Source organism: Homo sapiens, chromosome 10 (genome assembly GCF_000001405.40).
Source record: "Homo sapiens chromosome 10, GRCh38.p14 Primary Assembly".
NCBI classification, from domain to species: Eukaryota; Metazoa; Chordata; class Mammalia; order Primates; family Hominidae; genus Homo; species Homo sapiens.
In genome coordinates, this window is record NC_000010.11 from 85,453,148 (window position 1) to 85,473,613 (window position 20,466).

General features: G+C 38.9%; 1 long non-coding RNA gene across 1 annotated transcript in view; it reads left to right on the plus strand.

The window, feature by feature from the left end:
- LINC01520 (long intergenic non-protein coding RNA 1520) overlaps positions 1 to 20,466 on the plus strand; it is a 42,410-nt gene that overhangs the window by 3,556 nt on the left and 18,388 nt on the right. The window contains exon 4 of the long non-coding RNA NR_120671.1: positions 8,449 to 8,550. This is a non-coding gene — a long non-coding RNA (long intergenic non-protein coding RNA 1520). The remainder of the gene's footprint in view (positions 1 to 8,448; positions 8,551 to 20,466) is intronic.

The following is a 20,466-nucleotide window of genomic DNA, read 5'->3' on the forward strand; positions in this document are numbered from 1 at the left end:
CTGCACTTGTTCACCATAGTTGATCAGAGCTGTGCTAGGAATAAAGTGCTGCTTCGCTTGGCTTTTTGCTCTGCACACATATTTCCCGGGAGGCCCTTGCAGGGAAAGGTGACTTGTCAATGGCATCTACAGCGATTTGATTGTTCTTGGATCCCCTTGTCAAATATCACCAGAATATCAGCTGGAGATCTCCAAATAGCCCCACAGCCAGCATAGTGCCAACTATAACATGATCAACATTTTGCATCTATTCAAAATTCCCAATAAAAGGCCCACTCACCAAGCAGAGGGATTCTGAGGATGCAGAACAGAGCTTCTGCTGGTCTCTGCCTTAATTATCATCTGTCCCATGTCAGACATCAGTGCACAGAAACAGAGCTTCATCCACCTAATGAGACCCATGAGCCAGAAACTTTGGGCTGATGATGTGTCCTTGAGCCTCTTGCCTTTAATTTACTTTCCTTTACTTGTGGCTCCTGGGCTGTGAGACGCTTCTTGATGCCAGTGTCTTGACTCATACACTGAGATTATCTCTGCCTGAGCATCTCTCTCAAGTCTGTTCTGTTCTGCAATAGCTGGAGACTGAAGGTGAGGCAGGTTTCTCTAGTTTCTCAATCTCAGAAATGAGACATGACCCAGGTTCCCCCATGCAATCCTGAGCCGGGGGCTGGCAGAACCCCCAGTGCCAATTTGAATACAGGAGCCCAGAGTCCCTTCAGGACTGTTATCCACCCCTCCATTCTTGCTGAGAATCTCCCTCCCTTCAGCCATCCCGGACTCTAACACACAAGATTTAGATGAAATTTGAAGAGAGAAGTCAAAGCTTTTTATGTATAAATGCCTTCTCCATCCCCACACCAAGCCTCCAAGTCTCTCTGTGTTGTGCCATCTTTCTGGAGAGGCAGTGAAAGGGATACACTACTTCCACATTAGCCTACAATACCCACTAGTAGACCCTGTATACCAGTAGGAGTGATAACAACAGATTCCTCGAACTCGTTGCTCTCAAATACTAGCAAGCCTCAGAATCACAAGTGGGCCCTCCTCACTCAGAGATTCTGATTCCATATATTGGGGTTGGGCCTGAGAATCTGCATCTCTTAAAAGTTCCCAGGTATCCCTAATGCTGCTGGTCTAGGCTCATGTGAAAACTACCACTGGAATTCACTTCAGGACAGCATTGCACTGCACATCGAAAGCCATCGAGGGCTAACCCATCTCTCTCCATTTCAGACTACTTTCGTTGTGCTTCTTTCCAGAGACTTTGGCCTTTCACTGTAACAACTCCTCAGAAATGCTACTTACTTGCCCCAGTGCCATGACTTAGGACCTCTCTCAACTACTTTTCTCTTCCCTATAAATAACACCAGCATGGTCTGCAGAGCCAAAGTGGAATGGGCAGCTTTATGTGCCAGGCTGAGGGAGTGCTCTTTCTGGGGAGTTGCTTAACCACAGTCTGTCTCAGCCAAGAGCTGGGATTCCACTTCCCCAGAGATCTAGTTGTTTCATTCACTCAGCAGCCTCTTGCCTTGTCTAGTCTTATTTCCCAGAGAAGCTCCCTTTTCTGGACTGCCAATCAAATATTGCCATGTTCTCTCAATCCCAGAAAGAATCAAAATAGCCTTTGGGGAATTTCATCCATATAGGAAAACAGTGAAGTTTGGGCAAAAAAGAGATTATGTGACCCAAGTATATTATCCTGCCACTAGTAGTAGACATCTCTGAGTTCCAACAGCTATAGGAGAAAGAAGGACTCAGCCATGGGTTTGATTCCATTTGATTCCACCATCATTTACTAAGCAATCTCCATGTGCTGACAACTGTGGCATTCTAGAGATGCCTTCTAACTGTTGCCCAAGAAGTTCATAAGAAGGACAATACTGACAGCTCCCAGTACCATTACTGCAGGGCTCAGCAGCATCAGAAATTGCTTGCACATAGCCCACCCACCCTTACCATCAAAAGAGTTTGCTGGGTTCTACGTGCCAGACCCTGCATTAGGATACCCTCCAGTCTCCTAATGGGGCTTCGTATTGGACAAACTCAAACCGAAGCCAGGCAGCAAAGGAACCCATCAATACAATCCATATAGTTGAGCCCCTAGCCTCACAGAGCAGGGTGAAGAAGGGTTGGAAATAGGGTGAGAGAGGCAAATGGAAGATGCCCAGCGCATTTTCCAAAGAGTGAAACTGCATTTGAGAGAAAGGGGGCCCTGTGGGCAGGCATTTAACCCCGGATGGGAAGGTGGGGAGGGGTGGCTAACACAAAAAAATTCAGAAAACCCTAAAAATGGCTACGAACTGAATATCCCTAATATGCTTTCAAACTAAAGAAGTTCTGGCTACAAACTTGAAAGCTCATAAGGCACAAAATGACTCAACTCTTATTATGGGAGGAACTTGACTTTCATATTCAATATCGAAAAATAGAAGAGGGGCACATTAATTGAGAAGATAGACAGGGGATCTCATAAGGGTTTAGAAGGGTATTAGCATTTTCTTTGAGTCTAGAAGAAAAGGGAAGCAATTCAATAGAAAAAAGGTCATATGTAGGATAATCTGAATAAAGGCATGAAATCAGAAAAATAAGAGTGTATTCAAGTATTGATGAATTTCCAGGAACAGGGCAATGCACAGTATGCTGGCAGGAAAATGTGGTCAGATTCATATGAAAAAGTAGACTGGTGCCAAATCAGAAATACTTTGGAATGGCAGACAAAGAACAGACTGCTACGTATGCAGCCGGGCATGTTCGAAAGGAGAGTAGCTTGCTCAGTCCAAGATGCGCGTGGCACTAACCTGCCAGGTAATTCAGCTGCAGGACGGATTAGAGGACACTGAGGGCAGATGGAGAAGGCCAGTCAAGAGGCACACAGTAAAGATGGAAAATGGCTATGGACAGTGGGAGGGGGAGAAAGGAGTAGCTGCAAAATATGTTATAAGCTTAGCAACAAACACATGGACATCTAGACATCACGGTGAGTGGAGAGGGAGAACCAAGTGTGCCTCTGAAATTTCTCCACTATCTTCCTATGAAGATGTTTCTGCCATTCACCATGATTATTTGGGATGAGGCTGGGGGGTAATTCAGTTGTAGAAGTTACTGTAGGACATCCAAGTTTCAATGCTATATCTGGTAGCTGAGAGTATAGATCTGATGTGGGAAACTACAATGAGGTGCTGGGTTTTAAAACAGGGTGAAAATTGAGGCAAGAATTAGAGTCAGGGACCATTTAAGAAAAGAGATTTGCCTTGCCCAAAGTTGAGCTAGGAAGATGGGAGCTGGGAGCTGTCTGGCTTTTGCCACCATATTGTCAACCATGATCCCCTAGGTTTACTCCACCCCAGCCACACTGGACAGCATGCTGCCCCTACACATCACTCCTTCTCACTGCAGACATGTCACTCTTTCCTGCCACAGTGCCCTCATACTTGCTACTCACTCTGCCTGGAATATTCTCTTCTAAACATTGTCATACCACTTGCTCTATAACTTTAGGTGTCTGATCAAATGTCACCTCTCCAGTAAGGCCGTTTAAGACCAGTCTTTCTATAATAGGTCCTTTCCTCCAAAACACTCTTGAGCCCCTCACTCTGGTGTATATTTTATCAAAACACTTCTCACTAGTTGAAATCAAACTACACATATATAATGTGTGTGTGTGTGTGTGTGTGTGTAAAGGTCCAGGAAGGCAGGAACTTAATGCATTTCTGTGCCCCTAGAGCCTAAAAAAAAAATCTAGCATAGAAAAGGTATTTCTCAATAAATGTCTATTGAATGAATGTGTCAACTGCAGAATGATGAGGTTTATAAATTTGGAAAGGAGAGCTTTATTTCTCATAAAGCTTTGCAGCCTGCAGGGTGGCCTTTCTGACAACCTGTGTAGCACAGCTTCTGGTAGGAAGCCAGAAACAGATACTTAAAGGGAGGGACAGGGGAAGCGGGAATGCATGCTGAACGGGGTGGCTGAATATGCATATTTAATAAGCTATAGAAGGAGTTATTAGTATTCATGAAAGGAGAAACGTGCCCATGTTCAATTGAACTTTATGCCTCTTAATGGGACCCCTATACAAAAAATGGTGTTAGCATGATCTGAGGGTGGAGTTGTCAGTCCTCTAATGTCAAAAGATGAAACAGAGGACAAAAAAACCCTCACTACATATTCTTAGTGGACTAGCCAGAACAACTCCGTGGTGGGTGGTCTCTTATCAGACAAAACAGGAGGGGCAGTGTCAGGCAATTAATTGAAATCAGTAGGGAAGTCTTCTGAATGGGCTGGTCTCTGTTATGCCCTTAGGGAAGAAAGCCTAATCGTGGTTAGTGAAGGAGGGGAGATAATAAGGTGTCAAACATCCTTATCCCTTCATGGCTGAGAACTCAGTTTTCAAGGTTACTCTGTGGTTCCCTTGGCCAAGAGATGGTCTGTTCATTCAGTTGGGGGCTTAGAATTTTATTTTCAGTTTATAAATTAATAAATAAATGAATGAGGTGTGAGATACAGTAATGCTATAGAAATGTTGTGAAGGCAGGATTCCAGGAAACATGAGCTACAGAGGAAGAGCTATTATGGATAAGGTGGCATTTGGGGTGATTCTCAGAAACAGGGATGAATATCCCATTTGCACAGGGAAAAAAAGTATGGAGTTTGGCAAATGTGTGGGCCCTTCATAGAAAATAAAAGGCACATGTCAATGTGTACAGACATTTTATTCCTGAATGGCCTACTTCTACTTCATTGTGGTCAAAACGGGCCTGTCATTTCTGAAAGCAGGGGCCTATGGCTGAGGACATAGTTCTGGGGTCAGGCCAGCTTGTGCTTCATAGCCACACTCTGCCACTTACCAAACTTTGCAAATCAATTACCCTCTCTGACCCTAGTTTACTTCCTCAAGTAATTAAGATGATAAATCTAGTTTCCAGCATTGCCCTAAATGTGCAAACTAGAAAACATATGTAAATCACCAGGACTTAGAATGTGCTCAAGAAAACTCAGTTATTTCCTTGACCCCAGCTTTCCTAACTGGCCTAGACTAGGACTAGGTTTTTTTTTTGTTTTTTGTTTTTTGGAAATTGTGCTGACATTATTTTATTCTCAGTAATTTCTTGAAACTTCAGGGTTAGATCTAAAGATTAGTATTGTCTCCGTCAGCTGCCCCAGGGTGACGGCTGTGTTTTAATGGAGTCACATTTCTCCACAGAGTGCCCTGAGGGGCTATAACTTGGGGCCGTCATCAGCCCTGGCAGCTCCTTGTGACCTTGGGTAGAAAGGAGGACATGAGGTTCCCTTGGGCCAGCCCCGTACACAGGGAATCAGATGACAGGAGGCCAGCCTGGCTTTGCTTCCTGCCAGCAAGTCTGCCTCCAGCATCCATCCTCTCCCCACAGACCAAATGTGCGGCAGTGGGAAAATGTTCCCACAGAACCATGCAGGCCCTTGGGCAAAAAGCTGATCCCATTACCCATCAGTCTTCATTATAATGAGAAATTAGAGCTGGGAAGGTCCCACAGGGTGCCTGGAACTGCCTCCTTTCCTTTGCTGCAAAGGGTCACTCCCACAATCAGCCTGCAGCAACCGCTTCTCAGAGAATAACAGATATTTTCATGAAAAAGTCCATTTAAAGGAATCCAGCTCCAGTCCCCTTCCTTGGTTTCCTCTATCACTTTCTGCTATTTAATTGAGTCACTTGAAAGAGACCAATGCAAACACCAGTATCACTTCTAGTTGTGAGGTCAGACAACTAGCCCCCACCATAGAACTCAGGAAAATGCATATCCAAATTGCTGGTCCCCTCGGAGAATTTGACCCTCTAATATGGCAGAAACTCCTTCTATCTCTTACCTTTCTGAGCACTGGAGAAAATCAACGACTGTTCTCTAAGTGGGGTTCAGAATCGCTGGAGAACTTGGTAGAAATGCAAATTCTTGGACCCTAGTCTAACCTACTGGATCCAAAGTTCTGAGGGAGAAGTTGAGCCATCTGTGTTTTTGCAAGCCTTCCAGTTGACACTTCTGCACACTCAGAACCACTAGTCTAGAAATCTCGGCTCTTTGCAAAGACAGTAGTACTCTAGGAGATGCCTGGTATGGGGACAGAAGAAAAGAGGGAAAGGTTCATAGAGAAGGATGAGACCTGTCCTCAGTGGCTGAGAACTGGCAGACCCAAGACAGGCCAGCTCAAGAGGTCTCTGAAGCCCACTTGTTGCAGGTCTACCCAGAATGACCTCAGAAAGGAGGTGACTCTGGCAACCTTGGTCTAAGTCACAGCGAATTTCTTGACATTCTGGTGGTCCTAACTTTCAGGGTGGTAATTCATGATTCAATATCACCCTTGTGATGATCTTCATTAACACAGAAGCTAGAAAGAAATTATTTAGGCAGATAGTGAGGGTAAGAGAGTCCTTGATAAGATTTCCTTTTAATAAAAAGCAGCCCCCAAATCGTTTCTTTTGTAACAAAAAGCAGCCTGAGAAATCAAGCTGCAAGCATAAATAAGCAAGCAAAAATGCCGGCAGCTGTGCCAATAGAAAAGGGATATATGGAAGCCAGGTTTATTCAACATGAGGTTCCCTCATTCTTTTTCTTTGTCACCGTGTGTGGTAAAAAAGCAGACAACATGGCGCCGGCCAGGTAGTGACCCTATCTGCATAATACAAGATTAGGCTGGGATGGCCAGCTTCTTCACACGCTATGCAAACAGCACACCTGGTCCAACCAATCTTTTGGGCCCTGTGTAAATCAGACACTGCCTCCTCAAGCTCGTCTATGAAACCCCATGCATTTCACCACAAAACCGGAAGACCCACTCGGGATCCCCTCTCTCTCTCGGGAGAGAGAATTTTTCTCTTCTCTTTTCTCTCGCCTATTAAACCTCCACTCTTAAACTCACTTCTTGTGTGTCTGCATCCTCGATTTCCTTTGCGTGAGACGACGAACCTCAAATATTTACCACAGACAATGATGCCACTTCATCATGTTCCCAGCGCTGCACTACCAGATGATGGGAGGGGGCAGTGGAAAGTCCTAACTATCCCAGCCCTGACATTTACTTGGGCTTTCCCTTTGATTGTTTTAAGCTCTTTCTGCCTACATTTTCTTTGGTCTTAGCTCAGTCAAGACACTAAAGTATCTTAATCTCTCCTTTTACCTGTTCTATACGTTCTCTTCCTTTTTCAGAAGAAGAAAACAAAAATTAATATTTATTTAATATCTATAGATACTTTGCATTTTACTAAGCCAATGAAATACATCCCATTTAATGCCCAGATAACCCTGTTAGGCAGGCATAATTATTCGATTATGTTTAAATGAAGTAACTGAGGTTCCAGGAAGTCATTATTTGAATAAGGAGCCTGCCTAGTATGAGATGGAACTGTGTGTGACTCTACTTCCCTCTCCAAGTCTTTCCCTTAAGCACGAGCTTCTTTTTTATATTGGGAAATTTACTGTGTACACAAGGGTAAATAAATAAATCATGTAAGTTCACTGCATTAAACAAGACTAATTTATTTTGCAATAACAAATGTCTACATCTCACTAGCTTAGCACATAAATTATAGTTTTTCACTTACATGAAGTTCACTACAGGTCCAGAGGTTCTCCAGGGCACTCCCTTTCAGCAGAGACCCAAGAGGTCCAGGCTGTCTCCATCTTCTGTTTCAGTCAACATGACAGGGAAAAGATCTCAGGGAGATCATATGATAGTTTTTACCATCTCCGTCTGGGAGTGATGCTCCTCACGTCCCTTCACATTTTATTGACTAGAACTGAAGTTATGGGTTCCCCTAAAGGCAAGCAGGCTGGAAATGTGGAACTCTACGTACCCTGCAAGAGAACAAGTTTTAGTGAACACAGAGCATATATTCTGGCAAGCATGGCTTAAAGAAAATAGTAAAATCAATATACATATACCTACCACTCAGCTTGACAAATTCTACAGTATCAGAGAAGCCCATATGTGCCTTACCCATTGCACCACCCTCTCATAGCAAAGTTCTGTCTTAAATTTTGTGTTAACCATTCCATTCCTCCTTTGTAAATAGAACCGAACACTTGCTTGTATTTTTTTTTAAAAATATGTACAGAGTTCCTGTTCTTGAACTTTATATAAACAGAATCATAATGTATATATTTTTCTTTGGCTCAATATTATGTTTTTGAGATTTATTCACACTGCAACATGTAACTTTAGTTCATTTATTTTCACTAATGCCCAGTATTTTATTGAGTGAATGTACCAACATTTTCTATTCTACTGTTTATGTAAAATAGAAACTCCATTTGTTTGCTAATATGAATAATGTTGCTCTGAATATTTGTGTAAGTATCTTCTCACGAACTTTCTCAAGAGCATTTTAGGGCATATACTGATGGAATAAATTGCTAAGTTATAAGATATTCTCATTTTAAGTTTCACTACAAAATGACAGACTGTTTATCCATAAACAGAATTGGACAATAAGCAGTGTTGATGAGGATGTACAGCAACAGAGACTCTCATCTTCCTAAGTTCAGTGGGAGCAAATGTTGGTAAAATCACTTTGGAAAACAGTGAGTAAATGAGTCCCATGTTCAGAAACAATGTTGTTTGGGACAAAAGGATAATATTCTGTAAGTTTTTCATTGGTGATGCTGGCAGAAACGTTAAGATATTAAGGCAATTTCATATCCAAGGCAGAAGGCCCTCCAGTGAGCACAAACACATCCCCAATGGAAGTCCTTTCATGATGGAAGAGGTCATTGCAATCAACCTGCCACTAAGTAGCTGGTTGATTCCCCTGTAGAGTGTGACTGTATTGGGGGTACAATGTTGTTCTCTATCATTGGCTGGTAGACACACACACACAAAGTTGTCTGGGTTGGTATTGGCCAGGGAGAACCTATGAGGTTTAGCCCATAAATATTGTTCATTCCTGCTGCTCTGGCTGCCACTTCAACTCTTGAGTTCCGTAAACAACTATTTTAGCGGCTAAGGAAAGATGTTGACTACATCCACAATTTTGTCATTTTGACAACCTGATTACTGAGGATTTCCCTAGTGTGGATTCTCTTTGGTGTGAATTCACACAAACAACTATCTTCCAATTAGGGCCAATTTTGTGAGATTCACACATACATCTCTTTTTCCAGAACTCCTTGTCACTAATTCTCAAATCTTGTCATTCCAAGTCACTGGTCATTAGACGTAACCGTTAGCCATTGCCCATGAATCAGCACACATGGATACCTCTATTTCTTCTCTTAATCAAAGTGAGCAAACAAATTTACTGACCATAGTCTTGCCCAGTGATAAAATATACTTTCCCCACTGCAATTGATGGCTACCCCGGATTGGGGCTATAAAATTGGCTCATGTAAGCATATTATCATACCCATCTATAAATCAAGACTAAAATATTTGGTCACAGGGAACTCTCCCCGTTAAGTGGAAAATGTGAGTTGAAAGAGTAGTGTCGATGCAACATAAGTGAATGCCATGAAAATCTTGTTTCATTCAGGATCTGCTTCAGCCTGATTTCACATAAACTATTTCCAGGTGCTAATCAAGTACTTCAGAACATCATAGCGGCCAAGTGCAGTGGCTCACGCCTGTAATCCCAACACTTTGGGAGGCTGAAGCAGAAGAATCACTTGAGCCCATGAGTTTGAGGCCAGCCTGGGCAACACAGTAAGACCCTGTCTCTATAAAAAATGAAAAATGAAATAAAAAAAGAAAAGCATAATCTGATTAAGGTTTTTGACCAGGTGTGATGGCTCATGCCTATAATACAAGCACTTGGGAAGGCCAAAGTAGAAGGATCACTTAAGCCTAGGAGTTCAAGACCAGCCTGGGCAACATAGTGCACCTGTGGTCCCAACTACTTGGGAGACTGAGGTGGGAGAATCACTTGAGCCCAGGAGTTTGAGACCAGCATGGGCAACATAGTACAACCCTATTGCTACAAAAAATCTAAAACTAAAAACTAAAAAAAGGTTTTAGCCCAAGTGCAATGGCTGACACCTGTAATTCCAGCCCTTTGGGAGGCTGAAGTGGGAGGATTACCTAAGCACAGCAGTTTGAGTCCAGCCTGGGCATAGTAAGATCTTGCCTCAAAAAAAAAAAAAAAAAAAAAGAGAAAGTAAAGAAAAGAATTGGGCATGGTGGCATGTACCAGTGGTCCCAACTACTTAGGAAACTGAGGCAGGAGAATCATTTGAATCACTTGAGCCCAGGAGATCAATGCTGCAGTGACACATGATCCTGCCACTGCACTCCAGCCTGAGCAACAAAGCAAGATTCCGTCTCAAAAAAAAAAAAATTGCAAGCATTACACTGTGATGGATTATATAGCAAGAGTCTCATTATCATATATACAATTACTACTAGGTTCCAGAAAAAACAAAACAAAACAAAAAAAAGAAACATTTTTTCCAAAGAAAAATACTTGATGAGTGACATGAGCAAAATGGTAAAGTTGGTAGCTACACGCTTTTTTGCCTCCACAGAAACATTGAAAACTAAGCAGAAACTGTAAGATCCACATTTGTTGGAGCTCTTAAAAAATAGTTAAAAGTTTACAGAAACTAAGCAAATGCTGAATAAACAAAGAGATAACTTCAAAATAGTAGAAAAACATCATAGTATTTTTACTTGACCTTGTAAACCCTCCCAGTTTAGAGGTGGTCTTGAAGACAACAACCTGCATTTCCAGGAGGGGACCCTGGTTTATGCTTCCAGAAGGAGCAAAGAAGACCTTTTTACGAGTTATTGTATTTGTATTCTAAAATTCCTGGGAGTTACCTGAAGAACTTATACAAGGCACTCATTTCTGTTTGGCCTAATTCAGAACTTACACAAGATAGAAAAGTCACAGGCAGTGCTAGAAAATGTAAAATGAAGGAAAGACTTGCAGTCACCTGAGATAAAGATTAAGACACAAAATTGAGACACATAGTAGATCACCTAAAGTCTGTAGGAAGATCTGGGGAGGAAGTTTTTTGGGAGATGGGGGGGATTAGGACAGCATTTCTGGACCTGCCCTGGGCTAGAGGGGGGCCCACTGCCATAAAGGATGAATCCCAGACCAGGCCTACAAACTGGCTTAAGAGACCTTGGGCCTTAAGGGGACATCAGTGGTAGTCTGTCTGGAAGTTCTCCTTGTGGGCCTGTGGTGGTGGTGGCCATGGGGTGAGCCTCCTCTGCATTTGGAAAGGAGAAGGAAGAGTGGGAAGGACTGCATCTTGTGGTCTGTGAACCAGCTCAGCTGCAGTACCATAGAACACCAGGTAGACTTGTAATGTTTTTGACTCTAGTTGCTGACTCCTGAATTGCACCTCTGGACACACCCATGACCTGGGGGAACCCATCACCCTCAAGGGAAATACACTGGCCTGGCTGGCTTTGCAACCTGCTGATTATAGAGCCCCAGGGCCTTGAGAGAAAATTGGCAGTAGCCAGAGAGTGGTTATAGCAGGCATTGGACAAGACCCAGTGCTGTGCCGGCTTTGGGTCTGACCCAGCACAGTCACAGTGGCAGTGACCACAGGGGCGCTTGTGTCACTCCATACTCAGCTTTAGTTGGCTGAGGAGAGGGAGAGAGAGAGAGAGAGATCTTTGTTTGGGAGAAAATAAGGGTTGAGGACAAGAGTTACTGCCTGGTAATCCAGAGAATTCTCCCAGATCTTGTCCAATACCATCAAGGTGACACCTCAAATAGTCTGTAAAAACTATAGTTTACTGGGCTTGGGGTACCCCCTAAAGTAGATACAGCTTAGATCACAACACCCAAGTTGTTTTGAATGTCTGGGAAGCCTTCCCAAGAAGGACAGGTACAATCTCCAACAGTGAAGACTAAAATAAATACCTAACTCTTGAATGCCCAGACACAGATGAACAACTACAAGTATCAAGACATTCCAGGAAATAAACTAAATAAGTCACCAGGGACCAATCTTGGAGAAACAGAGATATGTGACCTTTCAGACAGAATTTAAAATAGTTGTGTTGAGGCAACTCAAAGAAATTCAAGATAATACAGAGAAGAATTTCAGAATTCTATCAGAAAATTTTAACAAAGAGAATGACATAATTTAAAAGAATCGAGCAGAAATTCTGGAGCTGAAAAATGCAGTTGACATACTGAAGAACACATCGGAGTCCTTCCTTTAATACCAGAACTCATCAAGCAGAAGAAAGAATTAGTGACCTTGAAGACTGGCTGTTTAAAAATACACAGTCACAGGAGACAAAAGACAAAAGAATAAAAAACAATGAAGTATGCCTACAGGATCGAGAAAATGGCCTAAAAATGGCAAATCTAAGAGTGATTGGCCTTAAAGAAGAAGTAGAGAAGAAAATAGGGGTAGAAAGCTTATTCAGGGAGATAATAACAGAAAACATTCCAAACCTAGAGAAAAATACCAATATTGAAGAACAAGAAGGTTATAGAACATCAAGCTGATTTAACCCAAAGAAGACTAGCTCAAGTCATTTAATAATTAAAGGTCAAGGATAAAGAAAAAATCTTAAAAGCAGCAAGAGAAAAGAAACAAATAACATACAATGGATATTCAATACATCTGGCAGAAGACTCTTCAGTGAAAATCTTACAGGCCAGGAGACAGTGGCATGACATATTTAAGTGCTAAAGAAAAAAACTTGTATCCTAGAGTAGCATATCTGGCAAAAATATCTTTTAAACATGAAGGGGAAATAAAGACTTTACCAGACAAACAAAAGTTGAGGAACTTTATTCCCAGACCTGTCCTACAAGAAATGCTAAAAGGAGTACTTCAAGTAGGAAAAAAAGGACATTAATGAAGCAAAAAGTAATCATTTGAAGGTACAAAACTCAACAGTAATAGTAAATACCAGTGAGTATTATATTATAACACTGTAATTGTGGTGTGTAAACTTCTATTATCCTAAGTAGAATGTCCAAATGATGAACCAATTAAAAATACCACAACTTTTCAAGACATAGACAGTATAATAAGATCTAAACAGAAGCAAAAAATAAATAAATAAAAGTGGGAGTAAAATGCTTTAAAGCTTAGAGGCTTTATTAGTTTTCTTTTTGCTTCTTTGTTTATGTAAACAATGTTAAATAGTTTTCAGTTTAAAATAATTGGTTATAAGATAGTACTTGCAAGACTCATGGTCACCTGAAACCAAAAAGCATACAACAAATCTACAAAAAATAATAGGCAAGAAACTAAATCATATCACCAGAGAAAATTGCATTCACTAACGGAAGACAGGAAGGAATGAAAGAAGAAAGAGCATACCACAAAATACCCATAATACAAATATCAAAATGTCAGAAGCAAGTCCTTACTTACCAATAATAACATTGAATGTAAATGGACTAAAATCCCTGATAAAAAGACATAGATTGGGTGAATGGATGAAAAAACAGGACCCATTGATTTGTTATCTACAAGAAACACACTTCACCTATAAAGACACACATAGACTGTAAATAAAAAGATGAAAAAAAGATGTTCCATACCAATGGAAACCAAGAAAGAGCAGGAATAGCTACACTTAAATCAGACAAAATTAATTTCAAGGCAAAACCTATAAGAAGAGACTGTCACTTTATAACAGTAAAAGGGTAAATTCAGCAACGGGATACAACAATTTTAAATGTATATGCATCCAACACTGGAGTACCCAGATACATAAAGCAAATATTACTACAGCAAAAGAGATACATAGACCTCAATAAAATAAAAGCTGGATACTTTGACACCCCACTTTCAGCATTGTACAGAATCTTCTAGAGATAAAATCAACACAGAAACATCAAACTTCATTTGACTACAGACCAAATGGATCTAATAGATATTTACAGAACATTTCATCGAACAACTACAGAATACACAGTTTTTTCCTCAGTATATGGATCATTCTTAAGGATAGACCATATGTTACATCACAAAATAAGTCTTTAAATATTCAAAAAATTGAAATAATATCAAGCATCTTCTTTGATCACAGTGGAATAAAACTAGAAATCAGTAACAAAGGGAATTTTGGAAACTATACATACATGGAAATTAAACAATATGTCTCCGAATTACCAGTGGGAATGAAGAAATTAAAAAGAAAAGTTTCCTGAAACAAATTACAGTGGAAACACAACATACCAAATCCTGTGTGGTACATCCAAATCAGTACTAAGAGGGATATTTATAGCTATAAGTACCTACGTCAAAAAAGAGTAAATAATCTAATGATGCATCACAAAGAACTAAAAAAAGTAATAGCAAACCAAACCCAAAATTAGTAAAAGAAAAGAAGTAATATCTACCAGATGTACAAAGAGCTGGTACCATTCTTACTGAAACTATTCCAGAAAGTGAGGAGGGAGTCCTCCCTAACTTATTCTATGAAGCCAATGTCATCCTGACACAAACTGGGCAGAGACACGACAAAATAAAATTTTAGGCCAATATCTTTAATGAACATCGATGCAAAAATCTTCAACAAAATACTTGCACATCAAATCCAGCAAGACATCAAAAAGTTAATTCACCATGATCAAGTAGGCATCATCCCCAGGATGCAAGTTTGCCTCAACATACACAAATCAGTAAATGTGATTCGTCACATAAACAGAACTAGAGACAAAAACCACATGATTATCTCAATAGAAACAGAAAAGGCTTTTGATAAAGTTCAATATCTCCTCAGGTTAAAAACTATCAAGAAGCTAGATATTGAAGGAACATATCTTAAATTAGTAAGAGCCTCCTACAACAAACTCACAGCCAATATCATACTGAATGCGGAAAAGCTGGACTTATTCCCCTTGAAAACTGGCCCAAGATAATGATGCCCTCTCTCACCACTCTTATTCAGCATAGTATTAGAAGTCCCGGCAAAATAAATCAGGCAAGAAAAAGAAATAAAGACCATCTAAATAGGAAGAGAGGAAGTCAAACTATCCCCATTTGCAGATGACATAATTTTATGTCAAAGCTCCTTCAGCTGATAAACAATTTCAGCAAAGTTGCAGGATACAAATTCAATGCACAAAAATTACTAGCATTTTTATACATCGACAACAGCCAAGCCAAAAGCCAAATCAAGAATGCAATCCCATTCACAATTGCCACAAAACAATAAAATACCTGGGAATACAGCTAACCAAGGAGGTGAAAGATCTCTACAATGAGAATTACAAAACACTGATCAAAGAAATCAGAGAAGACACAAACAAATGGAAAAACATTCCATGCTCATGGATAGGAAGAATCAATATCATTAAAATGGCTATACTGCCCAAAGCATTTTACTGATTCAATGTTATTTCTATCAAACTACCAATAATATTCTTCGCAGAGCTATAAAAAATTATTTTAAAATTCATATGGAATCAGTCAGAATGAATATTATTAAAAAGTCAAAATATAACAGATGCTGGAGGGGTTGCAAAGACAATGGAACACTTATACACTGTTGGTGGCAGCATAAATTAGTTCAGTCATTATGGAAAGCAGTGTGGCAATTCTTCAAAGAGCTAAAAACAGAACTACAATTCGACCCAGCCATCCAATTACTGGAAATATACCCAAAGGAATATAAATCATTTAAACATAAACAAACATTCAGGCAAATATTGAAAGGATCCTGAATAGCCAAGGCAATCCTAAGCAAAAAGAACAAAGCTGGAGGCATCACATTACCTGACTTCACACTATACTACAGGGCTACAGTAAACAAAACAGCATGGTACTGGTAGAAAAACAGACACATAGTTCAATGATAAAGAATAGAGAGCCCAGAAACAAGGCTGCATACCTACAACCATCTGATCTTTGACAAAGATGACAAAAACAAGCAATGGGGAAAGGACTCCTTATTCAATAAATGGTGCTGGGATAACTGGCTAGCCATATACAGAAGGTTGAAATTAAACCCCTTTGTTACACCATGTACAAAAATCAACCCAAGATGGATTAAAAGACTTAAATGTAAAACCCAAAACCATAAAAACCCTGGAAGACAACCTAGACAATAACATTCTGGACATAGGAATGGGCAAAAAATTCGTGATGAAGACACCAAAAGCAATCACAACCAAAGAACAAAGTTCACAATTGGTGTCTAAACTTAAGAACTTTTGCACAGAAAAAGAAACTATCAAACAACCTACAGAATGGGAGAAAATTTTTGTAAACTATGCATCTGACAAATGTCTACTATCCAGCATCTATAAAGAACTTAAACAAATTTACATGAAGACAACAAACAATATTATTAAAAAGTGGGCAAAGGACATGAAGAGACACTTTCAAAAGAAGACATGCATGTGGCCAACAAGCATATGAGGAAGAATTTAATATCACTGACCATTAGAGAAAAGCAATTGAAAACCACAAGATACCATCTCACACCAGTCCTAATGAATATTATTAAAAAGTCATAATATAACAGATGCTGGGGAGGTTACAAAGCAAGTGGAACATTTACACAGTTGGTGGCAGTGTAAATTAGTCTAACAGTTGTGGAAAGCAGTGTAATGATTCTTCAAAGAGCTAAAAGCAGAACTACCATTCAACCCAGCAATCCCATTACTGGAAATATACCCAAAGGAATATAAATCATTCTAACATAAACACACATGCACAAAAATGTTCATTGCGGCACTATTCACAGTAGCAGAGACATAAAACCAACCCAAATGTCTATCAATGACAGATTGGATAAAGACAATGTGATACCTAAACACCAAGGAATACTATTCAGCCATAAAAAAGAACAAGATTAAGTCTATTGCAAGATCATGGATGAAGCTGGAGGCCATTATCCTTAGCAAACTAATGCAGGAACAGAAAACCAAATACCAGATGTTCTCACTTATACTTGGGAGATAAATGATGAGAATTCATGGGCACAAAGAGGGGAACAATAGTCACTAGGGTGCACTTCAGGGTAGAGGGTGGGAGGAGGGAAGAGGATTATTTAAAAAAAAAAACATTGGGTATTAGGCTTATTACCTGGGTGACAAAATAATCTGTACAATAAGCCCCTATCACACAAGTTTATCTATATAACAAACCTGCAATGTACCCGTGAACCTAAAAGTTATAAAATAAATATTTGAAAATAAGTGCTGAAAAGGAGAAAAAAATAAATAAAAATAAGGATTGGTTAAGTTAAAAATAATAAGGATCAGAGCAGAAATAAATGAATTTGAAATGAAGAGAACAATGTAAAAGATCAATGAAACAAAAAGTTTGATTTTTGTAACATTAAACAAAACTAACAAACCTTTAGCCATACTGAGAAAAAAAAAAAGAAGATCCAAAGAAAAAAGCAGAGATGAAAAAGCAGACCTTACAACTGATATTGCACAAATTGAAAAAAATCACCAACTTTGAGCAACTATATGCCCCAAAATTGGAAAATCTAGAAGAAATAGACACATTCCTTGATACATACAACCTACCAAGATTGAACCAGCAAGAAATCCAAAACCTGAACACACTAATAACAAGTAAGGAGATAGAGCCATAATAAAAAATCTCCCAGTAAAGAAAAGCCTGGGTTCCAACGACTTCACTGCTGAATTCTACCAAACATCTAAAGAATTTATACCAATCCTACTCAAACCATTTCAAAAAATAAGGGAGGCAGAAATATTTCCAAATTCATTCATCCTATGAACCCATTATTCCCCTGATACTAAAACCAGACAAAGACACATAAAAAACAAACAAAACTACAGCCCAATATCTCTTATAAATATTGATGTAAAAATCTTCAACAAAAACTACTAGCAAACGAAATTCAATAATATATTAAAAAGAACATGCATCGTGATCAAGTGGAATTTATCCCTAGGATGTAAATTTATTTTTAAAAAAGATGTAGTATCTGAACTGGGCATGGTGGCATGTGCCTGTAGCCCTAGCTACTCAGGAGGCTGAGGCAGAGGATCTTTTGAGCCCAAGAATTTGAGGTTGCAGTAATCTATGATCATACCACTGTACTGAAAGTTGCAAGAGAAAAGCAACTCATCACACACAAGGAATTGTTAATAAAATTAACAGTCAATTTTACAAAAAAAAAAAACCTAAGGAGATAAGAAGTTAGTGAGAAAATATATTTAAAATGCTAAAAGAAAAAAAACGAAGCTGTCAAAAAAGAATGTGATTGTCAACAAAATTATTCCTCAAAAAATGAAGGAGAAATTAAGACATTCCCATATAAACTGAAATTGAGGGAGGTTGTTACCAGCCAATCTGCAAGACCTTTTAGGTATGCTAAAAGAAACCTTTAAGATAAAAATAAATGAACAATATACAGTAACTCAAAGATATATGAAGATATAAATATCTTTGGTAAAGGTAACTACAAAGCTAACGTTAAAGTCAATAATTTTACATTTTTGGTTTGCAACTCCACATTTTATATTCTACATGATGTAAAAGTAGATGTATAAAATAATTAGAAATTGATATATTAAACACATAATGTATAAAGACATAATATGTTACAACAACACAGAAGGGGACAGTGCTAGATGGAAGCAGATATTTTGCATGTTATTCAAGCTCTCTTGGTATAAACCAGATTGTTATAAATTTGAGATGTTTGATGTAATCTGCTACTGTTAATCAAAATTGTAAGCCACGGTAACCACTAAAAAATATTTAAAATATATATACAACAGAAGTGAGAAGAGTATCTAAATGGTACATTGCCAAAAATGGAACAAACACAAAAGAAGTTGAAAATTGAGCAAATGAGGAAAAATAGAGCTATAAGATATACAGAAAGGAAATAGAAAAATAGCAGAAGTCTTTTCTTAATTATTTTGTGTACAAATGGATTAAATTCTGCAATCAAATTGTAAAGCTTGGTAGAATGAATTTTTTAAAATCTTACTATTATTCAAAGTGATCTACAGATTCAATATGATCCCTATCAAAATTTCAACAGCCATTTGTACAGAAATGAAAAATCTAACCCTCAAATTTATACGAAATTTCAAAGGGCCACAAGTAGCCAAAACAGTCTTGAAAAATGCTCCACATTATTATCCATTAGGGAACTGCAAGCTAAAACTATAAAGAAGTACTACTTCATAGTCATTAGCTATAATTTAAAACAAAGAAAATAGCATAAAGAAAATGTGGCACACATACACCATGGAATACTATGCAGCCATAAAAAATGACGAGTTCATGTCCTTTCTAGGGACATGAATGAAGCTGGAAACCATCATTCTCAGCAAACTATCTCAAGGACAAAAAGCCAAACACCACATGTTCTCACTCATAGGTGGGAATTGAACAATGAGAACACTTGGATACAGGAAGCAGAACATCACACACTGGGGCTTGTTGTGGGGTGGGGGGAGGGTGGAGGGATAGCATTAGGAGATATACCTAATGTAAATGATGAGTTAATGGGTGCAGCACACCAACATGGCACATGTATACATATGTAATAAACCTGCACGTTGTGCACATGTACCCTAGAACTTAAAGTATAATAAAAAAAAAAAAATATATATATATATAAAGAAAAGAAAATAGCATGGATGTTGGAAATACTGGAATCATACATTGCTTCTGCAAATGTAAGATGATTCAGTTATTGTTGTCAATATTTTGGCAGTTTTCCAAAAAGGTAAACGTAAGATAACTATACAATCCTGCAAGTCTACTCCTGGGTGCATACCCAAAACAACTAAAGAGGGACTCAAACAAGCTTATGTACATGCATGTTTATAGCATCACTCAGGTGGAAATAGCTCATATGTCCCTCAATGGATGAATGGTTAAACAAATTTTGATTTATTCATTCAATGAAATATTGTTCTGCCATCAAAAGGGAATTAATTAATCATACATGCTACAACATAGATGGACCTTGAAATTATAATGCTAAATAAGGAAGTCAGACACAAAAGTTCTGAAATATTGTATGATTCCATTTATATGAAATTTACATAATTGATAATCCATAGAGACAGAATGCAAGTAGATGGTTGCTAGTGGGTGTGGGAAATAGGATGAAGAGAAACTGCTTAATGGGTAAGGGGTTTTGTTTTAGAATTACATAAATGTTTTAGAACTAAAGAGAACTGTTGGTATTACAATATTGTTAACATACTAAATGTCACTGAATTGTTCATTTTAAAATGATGGATTTTGTTATGTGAATTTTACTTCATTAATGTGTAAAGGAAAGGGAGGATAGTTGTCTATAGAAGACACACCTTTGCTCCAAAATCCTAATGACTTTGTGCTGTAATTCTACTATGGTCTGCCAAGAGGTCCATATAGCATCCTCAAGGATCAAAGACACTTCAAGTTCCATTGGATTTGCTACTTTGTAAGATACCAGTGGCAAGACAGGAGCCCAGCCCTGCTGCAGGACTTGTTTTGCTCTATGTTCCTCTGAACACCAGTGGATTTATGGGTTACTTATTAAATGGTTTAAAACAGACACTCAAATGTAATATA